General features: G+C 51.2%; 1 long non-coding RNA gene across 4 annotated transcripts in view, besides 5 other annotated features; it reads left to right on the top strand.

The window, feature by feature from the left end:
• SRP14-DT (SRP14 divergent transcript) overlaps positions 1–13,803 on the top strand; it is a 28,199-nt gene that overhangs the window by 10,980 nt on the left and 3,416 nt on the right. Inside the window, exons 3-4 of one of the 4 annotated variants that reach the window (NR_040061.1) lie at positions 6,163–6,351; positions 6,440–6,710. The exons of 2 other annotated variants lie outside the window; for them this stretch is intronic. This is a non-coding gene — a long non-coding RNA (SRP14 divergent transcript). Of the gene's footprint in view, positions 1–6,162; positions 6,352–6,398; positions 6,711–13,803 lie in introns of those variants that run through there. One more of the 4 variants, NR_040062.1, reaches the window with a different exon arrangement.
• Positions 4,212–4,421: an enhancer, noted in NCBI's record as "active region_9224". NCBI's record gives its function as "activates an Ori minimal core promoter by ATAC-STARR-seq in GM12878 lymphoblastoid cells {active_cell/tissue: GM12878}" and the evidence as "EXISTENCE:reporter gene assay evidence [ECO:0000049][PMID:35858748]".
• Positions 4,540–5,119: an enhancer, noted in NCBI's record as "H3K4me1 hESC enhancer chr15:40347031-40347610 (GRCh37/hg19 assembly coordinates)". NCBI's record gives its function as "activates a minimal SCP1, AML or CMV promoter by ChIP-STARR-seq in naive H9 embryonic stem cells {active_cell/tissue: H9 hESC(naive)}" and the evidence as "EXISTENCE:reporter gene assay evidence [ECO:0000049][PMID:30033119]".
• Positions 4,672–4,871: an enhancer, noted in NCBI's record as "active region_9225". NCBI's record gives its function as "activates an Ori minimal core promoter by ATAC-STARR-seq in GM12878 lymphoblastoid cells {active_cell/tissue: GM12878}" and the evidence as "EXISTENCE:reporter gene assay evidence [ECO:0000049][PMID:35858748]".
• Positions 11,291–11,350: an enhancer, noted in NCBI's record as "active region_9226". NCBI's record gives its function as "activates an Ori minimal core promoter by ATAC-STARR-seq in GM12878 lymphoblastoid cells {active_cell/tissue: GM12878}" and the evidence as "EXISTENCE:reporter gene assay evidence [ECO:0000049][PMID:35858748]".
• Positions 12,225–13,060: an enhancer, noted in NCBI's record as "H3K27ac-H3K4me1 hESC enhancer chr15:40354716-40355551 (GRCh37/hg19 assembly coordinates)". NCBI's record gives its function as "activates a minimal SCP1, AML or CMV promoter by ChIP-STARR-seq in primed H9 embryonic stem cells {active_cell/tissue: H9 hESC(primed)}" and the evidence as "EXISTENCE:reporter gene assay evidence [ECO:0000049][PMID:30033119]".

Here is a 13,803-nt window from a genome sequence, read left to right on the forward strand (position 1 = left end):
GGGTGAGAAAGTGTGCAAGGGGGAACACACTGTTCTCTACTGGCCCTTTGCCAAACAGCAAGGGAGAGAGGAGTAACAAGGCCAGACTATGGCCATGTTTAGTGGTTTTCAACTGCGGCCCAAAATGAGGCAGACATAGGCTAGGCATGGTCTAGCCCTTGTGTGTGTGTGTGTGTGTGTGTGTGTGTGTGTGTGTGTGTAGGGGGAGTGTGAGGAAGTTGTGAGGGTGTGTGGTGTGTGGGGGAGTGGTGTGTGTGGGGGGTGTGGTGTGTGTGAGGAGTGTGTGGTGTGTGGGGGATTGTGGTGTGCGGGGGCGGTGGTGTGTGTGGTGTGGGGTGTGGTGTGTGCGTCTGTGTGGTTGTGTGTGGTGTGTGGGGAGGTGTCATGTGGCATGTGTGGGGGGTTGTGTGTGTGTGAGGAGTGTGTAGTGTGGGGGGGGTTTGTGTGTGCATGGTGTGTGTGCGCGTGTGAGGGGGTGTGGTATGCATGGGCAGTGGTGTATGTGGTGTGTGGGGGGTGTGGTGTGTGGGGGTGTGTGGTGCGGTGTGGGTGTGTGTGTGTAAGGAGGTAGTGTGTGTGGATGTGTGTAGGGGGTGTGGGGTGATGGTGCGTGTGTGGTATGGGGGGTGTGGTGTGTGTGTCTGGAGTGGGGAGTGTGTGGTGTGTGGGGAGGGTGGGGATGTGTGTGTGGAGTGTGGGGGTGTGTGGTGTGTGTGTGGAGTGTGGTGTGTGGGGAGGGGGCGGGTGTTGGCCTGGGTGAGCCCTGGCAATCGCAGCAGAGAAGATGCCAAAATTTTGTATTTACTGTCAGGGCAATGATGCTGGAACTGCAGATCCAGCGCCCCGAAACCCGGCCCATCCCAAGACACTGCTTCTCACAGCCAACAGAGGAAGGAGGGAGGGGGAGAGGCCTGAAGCCGAGGCTTCTTCTTGAGGAATGCTCGCCAGGCCAGCAGCCTTCCTCACTTCAATGCAGCCTTCCCCTTCTATCCACCGATGAGCATTTAGCGGGCAACTCCTTTGTCCAGGGCAAGCCTTCCCCAGGTCTCTCTCTTCAAAAGCAGATGCTACCTAGTGGGAGGTGCGGAGTTATACATGCAAGAAAGGGCTACAGGACAGCATCACTAGTACCAAGCTGTGAAGGAGGTGGACTTTGAAGGGAAGAAAGAATTTAGAAAAACAGACTAGTGGACTAGTTACTGCGGGGAGCAGAGTGCCATTTCAGGCAGGAGAAGGAGTGTGATGTGAATCTTAGGGAAGAGTCCTCTTTGTATGTTCTGACAACTATTCTCTGACACCAACGGGGCATCCTGCAATTGGATTCAGTGTCAATTCTGACACTGACTACCTGCAGTTAGTGCCTGTGATATTGTGAAACAGGTATTAATTAGGTCTTCATTCCTGACATACAACTCCTAAAATCCTTGGAATCTCCTAAGTTTTAAGTGTCTTTTTGCACGCTAAGCACCTAGGTAGCTTCAAGATGGGAGCTGGCCGCCAGAAAGATCAAGACAGGGTTAGAGGATTGGGACTTTCAGCCCCACCCTTCAACCTCCAGGGAGGGAAAAGGGGCTGAAGTTTAAGTTGATCACCAGTGGCCAATGGTTTAGTCAATCAGGCTTATGTAATGAAGCGTCCATAAAAACCCAAAAGGGCAGGGTTCAGAGGATTTCTTGATAGCTGAACACGTGGGGATTCCTGGAGGGTGGAGCACCCATGGAGGTTAAAGAAGCTCCACCCCTCCTCCATAGCTCACCCTATGCATCTTTTCATGTATATCTTGTGGACTATCCTTATAATAAGCTAACACATGTAAGTAAGTTGTCCCTGAGTTCTGTGAGCTGCTTTAGTGAACCCCAATTAGCTGGTCAGACAGAGCAGCGGCGAAACAACCCAGGGCTTGCACTTGGCATCAGAAGTGAGGAGAGGGGACTGAGTTCTCAACCTGTGTGATCTGACACTGTCGGCAGGTAGAGTCAGAGTTGAACTGGAGGATGCCCCACTAGTGTCTGCTGCGGAAATGATAGCTTGCTTGGTGGCGGGGAGAGACCCCTGCCCCCCCATGTGGTGTCAGGAACGTGTTGAGAGAGCATAGTAGGAAAAACCGAGTTTGGTTTTTTTACAGTGTCAGACTCCACAAGTTAAATGTCAAAGTCCCCAAGACTACCCTTACTTCAGAACTCAGGCGCACGCAGGGTCCACAGGCTACTGGCACTTCTGTCTGACTTGACTACACATTTGAGTTCTCACCACCCAAACTTAGGGTTCAGTAGTTGGCTAGAATGGCTCACAGAACTCACTGAGCATGCTATACCTACAATTAGTTTTATTATCATATAGACTCAGAACAGCCAAAGGGAAGAGCTATGTAGGGCAAGGTGTTGGGTGGGGGCGGTGTGTGTGCAGAGCTTCCATGCCCTCTCCTTGTGGAATGTGGTATGTCCCTCTCCCAGCACATTGGTGTGTTCACCAACCAGGAAGCTCCTCGCAGTTTCAGTGTCGAGTTTTATATGGGGCTTTACTCCACAGGCACCATTGATGAAATCATTAACCACATGACGAACTCAATCTCTAGTCCTTCCCTCTCGCCCCAGAGGTTGGCGGTGCAGTAGGGATGGGAGTAGGGATGAAATTTCCACACTCTGATCACATGCTTGGTCTTTCTGGCATGGCCAGTCTCTCCCTTAAAATTAAGGGCCCACCTTGAGTTGCCTTCTTATCATAACCTGAGGTATGATGGAAATGCTCATTACAAATGACAAAAGGCGTTCCTGTCACTCAGGAGATCCCAAAGGTTTTTAAAGCTCTGAGCCAGGAAAGGGGGACAAAGACCGAATGGGCTTTTTAAAAAGTCATAGCAGAGATTGTAATGGGCAGTTCCTAGGGAAAGGAAGTGGGAGCTGAGGATGGAAAGGCAGGGTGGGGCAGATGTATAAGGTCAGAAGTTGATGGGTACGGGGAGGAGAAATCAGCCCTGCCCTCCTAAGGAAGTGCAGGCAGAGGAGAAGCAGTAGACACCACTCCCTCACTTGAGTGTCTTGGGGGAATCTTTCACTCTTCCAGTAAGTTTAATTTTCCCCTGGGTAGTTCGTCCAGGAGGAGGCAGCCTTCAGTTTCTGCTTTGGCACCAACGTCCCCACAACTCAGGTCCAGGTTCCCTCGTGCAGCCTCCTGACATTCCCCACAGTTCAAATACCACCTCCTTCTAGAAGGCTTCCCTGATTACCCAAGTGGGAAAAGACCCTGCCCTGAATTCTGAAAGCCCTTTGAAACCGTCCCCTACTGCCCCGCGGGGACGTCAAGACAACTTACTGTGACTCATTCCTATCTCCCCAGTTTGATCCTGAGCACTTTGCCTTACCCCTTTCTGCTTCGTTCCAAACAGCCGGCACTGTGTGCTTCATAGAACATTTGTGAGCTCTGCAGACATTCTGTCATCATCGGCCCCTCCTCTGCCCCTAACCAACTTGCTACCTTCCCTTGCAGAGCCCTGCCTCTGAATAGAGTGTGAATGTCTGCCCTGCCAGCCTGTGAGCTCCTCCAGGGAAAGAATGTGTGTCTACCTTCCAAGCCTGACAAGCAGTGGGTGCCCATGTGTGCGGAGTGAACTCAGTCACTTTTCTCCTAGACGGCGTCACCTTTCTCACATTTAGGGAAAATCAAGTGTAAGGGAATGAGTTACTTATTCTCGTAGAAGAATGGGAAGAGTGAGAAGAAAGTTGGGGGTGAAGCAGGACTCACACAAAGGCAAGGCTGGCCTCTTCCCGCAGGGGCTGGGTCCCCCTGGGCCTCTTGCCAGGACACTGTTCTCGGTGGGTGCTCCACCAAGACGCAGGTAACTGGCAAGATGAGAGATCAGACCAACCTGGACCTGTGACAGGCAGGCACATGGGCAGCATGAACATCCCACTAGCCTCTGGGGACAGCATGGCAGAAAGGAGCCATTCTGGGAAACTGTGAAACTTTCCCCTTGAATGGCTTCCAGCCCCTTTAACAACCCCAGAGCAGCGTCCCAGCCTTGGTGAGCTGGGGTTTACTCACTCACACTCACGGTTACCACGCAGAGGCCCAGGCTGAGGGGGAAGGAACCGCCTGCTCAGCCCCCACTGAGGCCGGCCCGGTGCTCCTCTTGGCATCACTCTGAGGGTCCTCAGTGGGCAGACCCCAGGTGGGGTGAGTTGCACAGCCCAAGAATGAAGCTCCCTTCTGCCTCCCCTGGGCAGGTCCCATGACTTGGAGGAAATTGCTCCAGAGAGTGGCAACTAGACATGAAGTGGGACACGGTGCCCAGGGTTTCTCAGTGGCCTCTGAAGCCACCCAGAGTCAGTGAGAGTATCTTGGCCTCTCTCTGTGGGCTTCAGGGCCTCTCAGGCAGGTGTTTGTCTCTGGGATCCCTGGATCACGAGCCCTGTGACTCTTCCACGGCCAGCTTCCCACCCCACACCCCTGCTGAGCATGTTACCCCGCATCCTGGGGGAGCCACCATTTGGGAATAGATTGGATGGAGAAGGCCTGCTCCCAAGAAACAGTTAATCCTCTCCCCTTCCCCCAGGCCCCTTGCACCTGCAGGCTGTGGTGTGTGGTTTCCCACAGCTGCAGCTGGCTCTGCAGAGCCCCTCCCTTCGAGGGAACCTGAGAGGCTCAGGGCCTGAGGCGCCAGGAGAGGCTCCTCGCCCTCTGTCCAGCTGCTGGGGATGGCATGAGAGGGCCTTGCTGCCCTCTGACCTGGACATACCACAAGAGTGCTCTGGTTGAGTGACCCATATGTGATTCCTGGCTTGCAAGCCAAAGGCAGAGATTCCAGTTTGGGAGGTCAGAGAGGTTTCTGAGAAGGGAAATCAGCCATGAGGCCCCCCAGTCCTGGGCTTGCTCCAGCTCTGCTGCCTTCTGGAAGAAGCTGACTGGCCTGGGTGTGGGCTGGGCATTCCCCTGGGGTAGGATGCAGGGCTCCAGAAAGAGAGGGTGAGTGGAGGGTAAGAGGTGACTGGGAAGGACCGGGAGGAACAGGAGGAAGTGAGATGTGGCAGGGCCAGGCCTCTGCTGGTCAAGACAGCCTTGAAGCCACGGTGCTACAACTCTGGCAGGGTCAGCCCTCTGGCTATCCCAGAAGAGGGCAGGTTGCCACAGAGCCTGGGCAAATACCCAGCTGCCCTCTGAACCAGGTGTTCCAGGGACACCTCCGAATACTGCTTACACTGAGACAATGAGACAAAAAGTGCCAGCAGCTTCCTGGCTGGGACACACCTTCAGGAGCATTAGCCTGGAGCAGAGGCTGAACCCATCCTAACAGCTTGCCCATGTCCCCAGCCCCGGGCTACCGGGCAAGTGCTCACATCCCCTGGGGACAGGTGGATGGCACACAGGGTCATGGCGGAGGGCTGCTCACTGGGTCCAGAGCCAGGGTCTGGGAAGAGGGAGGGAGATGCAGGAATCTGACAGGCTTGAGCCTCACAGGGCCCAGGGCTCTGGCTTCTCTCAGATCCAGCTCTGGGCAATGTTTCAGTTCAACACTCTCCCTGGGAGGCTGTGTAGCCTGGGGCTCAGGGCTTTGGTGGCGTCCTGTCTGCAGAAAAGCCCCACTCCCCACTAAGAGACAACTCCCCATACCAGAGCAGGAAGAGAGAGGGCGATTGAGCAAAGGAGGCCTGAGGGGAAACAGAGACACCCATCTACAGGAGCCCCTGAGTCAGGTGTGGGAGGAGGGAGAGGCAGGGCCCAGCAGAAGCCACCGTTTGCGCCACACTCCTCTACCTCAGGCGGAGACCAGCTGCAGGGTGGCAGCCAGGGTTTGGAGGAGGTGAGGGAGCGTGCCGGCCCGGCACCCAACAGGCTTCAGTCTTGGCTCCCACACAGCTTGATGCTCCTTTCGGGGTATAACTGATGCCAACCACCCAGGGCCACTGCCAGGAGTCCACTGTGTACTCAGACTGTGCTTGGCCCATTCGCAGCAGTGCCACAGGGCCACAGGCGCAGAGCTCTGGCTGGGAGTCACTGCCAATTTACAGTTTGCCCTCAGGTGTGTGGAGGCAAAGCCCTATGAAAGATTAGCTTTGCGCTCCGGAGGAGAGGGCGCATGGCAGGTGATCTGCCCACCATGGCTTATTTGTGGCTTCATCACTGTGATGACACTATGTTTGGCATTTACTCATTATTGTTATCCAGACCCCACGTTATCAAGAAAAGTACAGGAAATCTGCCGTTGGGAGAGCGGCAGCACCCATGTGGAGTGCCACTTTCTGATCTGGGACTTAAACAACATTGCTGTTTTCCTCCTTGCTCCAAGTCATCCATTTTGACAATTTTATATCAGCATGGACCCTTCACCAAGACTGAAATAACTCTGTTATTGAGGTGGGAATCTTTCTATTAATGCATTTATTTAGTATTTCATTCCACAGACATTTAGTGAGTGCCTGCTGTGTGTCATCCATTGTGACAGTGTTGGGAACACGGAGATGAATAAAACAAGGCCCCTGTCCTGGGAGAGCCGAGAGGCCACCTGTCAGCTGACATCTTAGGGAGGACACCATCTACATCCAACCCTGACTACTGAACACTTCCAGTTTCTTGGAAGAAAGATTTTAAAATCTTCAGAAATGAGAACTCCTCCAAATAGGATTTTCATTTGTTTCATATATTTTAAAATTTTATATTTTAATATGTAACAGTCATATGGTTTAAATATAAAAATGACATCAGTGGCTCAGTAAGAAGTTTTCCTCCTAATTTTTCCCTAACAGTTCCCAATTTCTGATATAAAAAATGTTATATCCTTGCAGGATTTACTTAGGTAAATACATGTTCTTAGTTTTCCTCTTCATTATTCCAAAGGTTGTTTACTGCAAGCATGGTTTTTCTTGCTCATACATCCTGGAGATTGTCCCATATCCACACAGAGAAGGTTCCCCATTTTTTTCTTACAGCCGCAAAGTGTTCCTTGTTCTAAACCAGGTTTCTATTGATAGTACTGGGTGGCTGGTCCTCAATCTTTTGCTCTCAGACTGTGCCATGTATGTCCTTTCAGAGGGGGGCAGGTACATCTGTAGGATGGGTTCAAGGGTTTGTAATTGAGAGAGAGATTGCAAATTGTCCTCCACAGAGGTTGCACTGCTTTCATCCCCACCAGCAATGTATGAAAAGGCCTGTTTCCTGTTTTCCCTATCAGGCTGATATTTATTTATTTATTTGTTTATTTACTTATTTATTAGAGCCAAGGTCTCACTCTGTCACCCACGCTGGAGTGCAATGGCGTGATCATAGCTCTCTGCAGCCTCAAACTCCTGGGCTCAAGTGATCCTCCTGCCTCAGCCTCCTGATTAGCTGAGACTACAGATATGTGCTACCACACCCGACTAATTTTTCACTTTTTGTGAAGACAGTGTCTCGCTATGTTGCCCCGGGGTGTGGGGGGAGTTCTCTAACTCCCGGCCTCAAGCAATCCTCCTGCCTCTACCTCCCAAAGTATTGGGATAAGCTAATATTTTTAAAGAGAAAGGAAGGAGGCAATATGAGGCCTCTAAAGAAGAGAGGTAGGAAGAAGGTGAAGCCCAGATGCCTGGAGCACACAGAGCTGCAGCCACTGCCTGCAGCTTTGCTTATGAGGGGGATTGAGTTTCTTCAGGCCATGATGTTTGATTTGTGTTTGGAGCAGTAAGCCTTACAGCTGATAAATGGTTTTTTTCTCCTGGGGGAGCACGAGACTCTAGGAAGATAATCTATTAGGAGAACCTGAGGGAAGAGAGTTTAGTTGGTGCATGTGGGTGTGAGGTTGTTTCTCGGTCCCTTCAGGCTGCTATTGCAGAATACCATAGACTGTGTGGCTTAGAAACAACAGAACTTTATTTCTTACAGTTCTGGAGGGTGGGAAATCCAAGATTGAGGTGCCATCAGATTCGGTGTCTGGTGAGAGCCTGTTTCCTGGCTCATAGACAGCACCTCTCACTGTCCTCACCTGGTGGAAGGGTGTCGCTGGGGACTGAGTGTCTTCATTTTTATCAGTGCTTCTTTTGTAAGGGCACTAATGCCCTTGTGCGGGCTCCACCCCCATGACCTAATCACCTCCCAAACAGCATCACCTCAGGGATGAAGATTTCAACATGTGAATTGTGGGGGACACAAGCATTCAGAACATAGCAGGTGGCATATGAAAGTGCAGACCACCATATCCAGCAAATACATATGCATTTCCAATAGTCAGGGGAAGAGACAGAGGGAGAGGTGGAGGAGGGTGGAGAAGAGGACAATCTTCTCTGAGGAGGTAACGTTTGGGCAGAATCCAATTCATAGATCTGGGAAGAAAAGTTCCAGCAAAGGGACAAGCAAGGGTCAAGATCCTCAGGGGAAGGAGAGGAGAGGGGCCTGCTCAAGACAGTGAGTGACCTTGGAGGAATTGGGACAGGGAAGGCAGTCAGCAAAGCTGGGAGTCGGGGGGGTGCTGGACCATGGGGAGCCTGGAAGGCCATGGCAGGGAGTTTGGGGTTTATCTTAAGAATAATGAGAAAAAGAAACTGGTCAGAAAAACCACATATTGCATTTTTCCATTTCTACAAAATATCCAAAATAGACAAACCCAGAGAGACAGAAAGCAGATTCGTGGTTGGCTGGGGCTGGGGAGATTGGGAGGAAATGGGGAGTGACTAATAATGGGTGCTGGGTTTCTTCTGAAGGATGATTACAATGTTCTAAAATTGATTGTGGTGATGGTTGCACAACCCTGCAAATATACAAAAAAAAAAAAAAGCCCATTGAATTGTATACTTTCAGTGGGTGAATTATATGATATGTGAATTACATCTCAATAAAGCTGATTTATTTATTTATTCATTTATTTATTTTGAGACAGGATCTTGTTCTGTCGCCTAGGCTGGAGTGCAGTGACGTGACACAATCACAGCTCACTGCAGCCTCGACCTCCCAGGCTCAAGTGATCCTCCTACCTCAGCCTCCTAAGTAACTGGGACTATAGGTGCATGCACCACCATACCCAGCTAATTTTTAAGGTGTTTTTTTTTTTTTTGTAGAGACAGGGGTCTCACTATATTGTCCAAGCTAGCCTCAAACTCCTAGGCTTGAGTGATCCTCCTGCCTTGGCCTCTCAAAGTGCTAGGATTATAAGCGTGAGCCACTATGCCCAGCCTTGTTATTTTTTAAAAAAGGATTTTAAAAAATTATAAAAAGGATAATAGGAAGCTGTTAGAGGGTGATTTAATCAGCAGTAACATTCTCACTCAGGCTGTTGTGGGAGAACAAACTGTAGGGAGGGGAGAGTGGGGGCAGGAGATGGTTGGGAAGCTAGTGCAGTCGGCCAGGCAAGGAGCAATAGTGACTTGGCCTGGGTGGGTCACTTTGTGATGAGGATTAATGAAAAGGCCAGACTGGGGTATTTTTTGAAGCTAGAGTTTGATAATTGGTTGTGAGGGGTGGGAGAGAGAGATGAATCCTGGCCATTTAACTGCAGTGAAAAGACTGGAGGAATAGTTGGACAAGCGGAGGGACGGGGCATACGAGTTCTGTTTTGAACATGACAGGCCTCCGAGGTGTCCACTAGGCAGACGGGATGTCAGGGCAGGGTTACCACCATGTAGATGGTCACTGCTAAGAGCTGGGCACTCCTCCAAACACATACATTAAATCATTTAGTCTTCTCAGTAACCTATGAGGCGAGAGCTGTAGCTATCCCTGTCCATAGGGGGCGTATCCTGTGTGCCATTTCAGATGCCCGCGGCCTCACCTCTTGTTCCAGCCATTGCCCCAGTGACCAGTTTTGCACAGGTCTTGACCAGTGCCGTGTAAATGTCGCCTGGCAGGGCCTCTCCACATGCCTCTCGCCCAACACCATGATGGGGGGACACCCATGGAACCTGCTTGGCATTAACACATGAGCCGCCCAGAAGTGAAGGGGAGCTAACATTCCATGGGATGACTCGAGAGGAGCCAATGGATAACTGTCCCCCTTCTTCCAGTGAGTTCTGAAGTACGTTTCATAAAGCTTCACAGAAAGACTGAGTGGTGTTCACTCAGAGAGATGTTAACACACTCCCATATTGACTCCCCCCTTTCTCTGTTTCATTCCTCCTCCCCCTCACCCCTGCTCCCTGGGATCATGTTCCCAAATAAACTACTCATGCTTAAGCCTTTGTCTCAGGCCCCATGTAAGATCTGATCTTACATGGAGAATTTAACAGCAACAACATCACACCAGGGGCATGCTCACCAGGGGCAGAGCAGGGGTTCACACCCCGGCAAGCTTCTCTACTCGCTTCCATGTTGCCTCTCAAAGATCCCAACCTCTAGAGGACATTTAAAGGCACAGGCCTAGATGGAATCTAACCATCTAACCGGGAGAGACTGTAAATAAGAAAAAAGTCCCCACACCATGCTCACATTTAGAGATCAAGAAGAGGAGGAGCCAGCGAAGGAGCCAGAGAAAGAGCTGCCATCCGGGTAGGAGGAAGCCAGACCAGTGTGGAGTCCTGGACTCCAAAGAAAGACAGCGTTGCAAGGAGGAGCGAGTGCCCTACTGTGCAAACGCTGCTGAGAAATTGAGGAGGTGAGACCAGGAGACAGACCTTTTGGATGCGCCAGTAGGAGGTCACTGGTGACTTGGACAAGGGCAGTTTCAATGGAGTGACAGAAACAAAAACTTGGCTGGTGTAGGCTAAGAGGGAATGGAGGTGAAGATTCGGAGAAGTAGCCAGCAGGGACAACCACTTCAAGGAGGGGTGCGTAAAAGGGAGGAGGAAGTGGAGCAGAAGCTGAAGAGGGTGTAGGGTCAAGGAAGAGTTTGTTTTGAAAGTGAGAGAGATCATAGCGCAGTTATGTGCCGAAGGGAATGGTCTGGCAGAGAGAAGGAGCTGGATAGTGCAGGAGGGAGAAAGGTGATTTCAGGCAGTCTTGAGTAAGTGAAGGGATATGGTGCACAAAATGAAGGGATTGGCCAGGGATGCAAGAGGAGGCCATCCCTCCATCTGTCCATCCATCTATCCATCTGTCCATCTGTCTGTCCATCCATCCGTCTGTCCGTCCGTCCGTCTGTCCACCCATCCATCCATCCATCCATCTGTCCGTCTGTCCATCTATCCTTCCGTCCATCCATCCATCCATCCATCTATCCATGCATGCATCCATTGTGAGGAAGAAAGGTAGCAGCGGGCATAGATGCAGGCACCTTGGGAGATCTGATGGTGAGAGGCACGTACGTTCCAGCAGATGACATTTAGTTTCTCAGCAAAATAAGAAGCAAGATCTTTAACTAACAGCGAGAAACTAAGGGAAGGTGTTGAGGGTTGGAGAAGATGTGAAACACTTATCTGGAGAGTGGCGCAGTGAATTTAGTAGAGAAATATAGTAAGATTACTGGGCAAGCTGAGCGCCCACTTGAAGTTTGTGGTCAGAAGCGTCAAGTGCGGCTATTCAGTATGACTGTGAGTTTCCCCGGCAATGCTCAGCTACTCAGTGCAGGTGCAGGGTGTTGGGTTTAAGCAGGGTGGAGGCTGTGTCAGGAGATTCCAAATGAAGGGAAAAGAGCAAGAAAGGAGAGGGCTTCCACAAATGGGTGATTCTTGTCAAGGCCTACAGAATTGAGCTGGAGAAGGGGGTTGAAGGCAGTGAAAAAGGACAAGTTCAAAGGCAGGGAGTTCCCAAAGGGGACACATCATTGAATGGAGGTAATAGAGTAGATAAGCTGAGAGCCGAGGAAGGGGTGGTCAGGGAGCAGGGGGTTCAGAAGTGCTGAGGCAAAACCCTGGCCATGGGAGTGGGAGGCCCAGGCAGCAGAACGAGAGGTGGAGAGTGAGGAGGCCAAAGACCAAGAGTGGGAGGTGCTGGGTGGACATCTACATGGATGACCTTCCTTGTCCACCATCTCTTAAACAGCTCCCCATCCTGCCACTACCCCTTCATCTGCCTTTTCCTTTCATAGCCCCTCTGTCTAACATTATTTTACGTAGGACTGGTTCATTGGTTAATTATCCTTGCTGCCATCAGAATGTAAGCATCTGAGGGCAGGGACATTTTCTCTCTGGTCTACACTTATAAACTCTTTTCTAAGAACATACCTGGCACAGATTAGGTGCTCAGAAACATGTGCTGGACAAAAGAATGAATTAATGTTAAGGTCTAGGAAAAGCATGGAGGAGTGGTGGTGGAGAGGAAGACCGTGGGCCAGGTACTAAAATCTGTGAATGAGCAGGAGTGGCCTAGAGTATGGTAAATACTAGAAGGGATGGTGGATGGTCTGGTCTGATGGCATAGCTGCAAAGGAGATGCAGACTTAGGCTGAGGAGGAAGGGGGAGAAACCTACAGGTGGCCATGAAAGCAGGGAGGACAACTCGCTGCCTCCAGGCATACTGATGTGGAAGAAGAAAACAGAGCCAAGACAGGAGGTGGCTGCAAGGAAGCTGTGTGTGGGGGTCAGGCAGGTTTGCAGTAGAACAGGATGGTGAAAGGAATGTTCAAAGGGAAAGTCGAGTGGATGGGGAGATTTTGCTGATGACAAACCATAAGTTCCCGAGAGCAGAGTGAAAGGATCTGGGGGATTGTGTCAGATTAGGGGAATAGAGCTACATGGGGGTGAAAGTCTTGGGGGTGAAGGATGAACAACAGTGTCAGGCTTCTGGAGGTGTCTAGGGACACAAGGCCACAGGGCATGATGGGCTCTCCTGAAGGTCTCTCTTGGGCAAGTGGGTACCCCTGCTCACGCCAGCTCCTCCTCCAGCCAGGGCCCACGGGCCATGGACCACAGTGAGGCAGTGATATTGGCGTTGGAGGGGCCTTGCCAGACACTGAGTGTTCGGGGTGGGAGGAGAGGGCAGCTTTGGGTATTGGAAGGAAAGTCGAGCAGGCACTCCGGAGACTAGATTCTCATCCAAATCTTTCCTACAAACCATGACGTAACATTGGGCAAAATGGTCATGATTTTCCTTATCTATAAAATAGAGAGGAGAGGAGGTCTCTCTTAGCTGTGCAAATCCTGGCCTCTGTCTCCTTCTTTCCCTGACTTCTTCTAGCTCCTGTCTCCTCAGCCCTCCCGACTTGTAGCTAAGCCCTGGCTTTGTATTAACCACCCTCCTGCTGTCAGCATCGCTGAGAGGCATAGCCAAGGCCTGCCCTCTTCCTCCTCCCTGGCTCCAAAATGCTCCATGCACTGTCCCATGCCACTCTGATCCTGAGCAGCCAAGTGGGCAGAATGACACTCCTTTGGGCGTGGAAGTGAACATCAGCCATGAGTAGGGAGAGGAAACTGCCCACAGAGAGGGCAGACTCCATCAGGGGCAAGTGACAAAGCCACAGACTGGCATGAAGAGGCTTCCCAGGCCCTCTGGAAGGCAGTGAAGCCAGCAGCCTGGCTCCTGGGATGGGCTGTCCCCTATTCAGCAGCTCCATGGGCCTGGAAGTGGGCCCAGGGAGCCAGCCAGAAGGAGGCTGTGGCCAGAGGCTTGATTTGCAGCCCAGGACTAGGACGCAGGGTTCTCATCCAGGCTTCACCCACAGCAAATGTGCGACTCTCCCTGGCCCTCTGGGTGGGGATTATAATAACTACCTTGCTTACCCCAGTTGCTGGAGGCCAATATTCACTGAACATTCATCATGAGTCAGGCATTCAGTAATCCTCACAATGGCCCTAGAAATTGGCCTGTACTATTTTCAACCCTTAGGGAGGAGGTGACAGACACATAGAACATCTAAGTAACTTGCCTGACACTCCACAGCTTGTAAGTGGCAGGGCCAGGCTCTTAGCCCTAAACCATACATTAGAGATTTATTATCATTTAGGTCCCTCAACAATCTTGTGATGCAGGTAT

This window comes from Homo sapiens, chromosome 15, assembly GCF_000001405.40.
Source record: "Homo sapiens chromosome 15, GRCh38.p14 Primary Assembly".
In the NCBI taxonomy this organism is placed as follows: domain Eukaryota; kingdom Metazoa; phylum Chordata; class Mammalia; order Primates; family Hominidae; genus Homo; species Homo sapiens.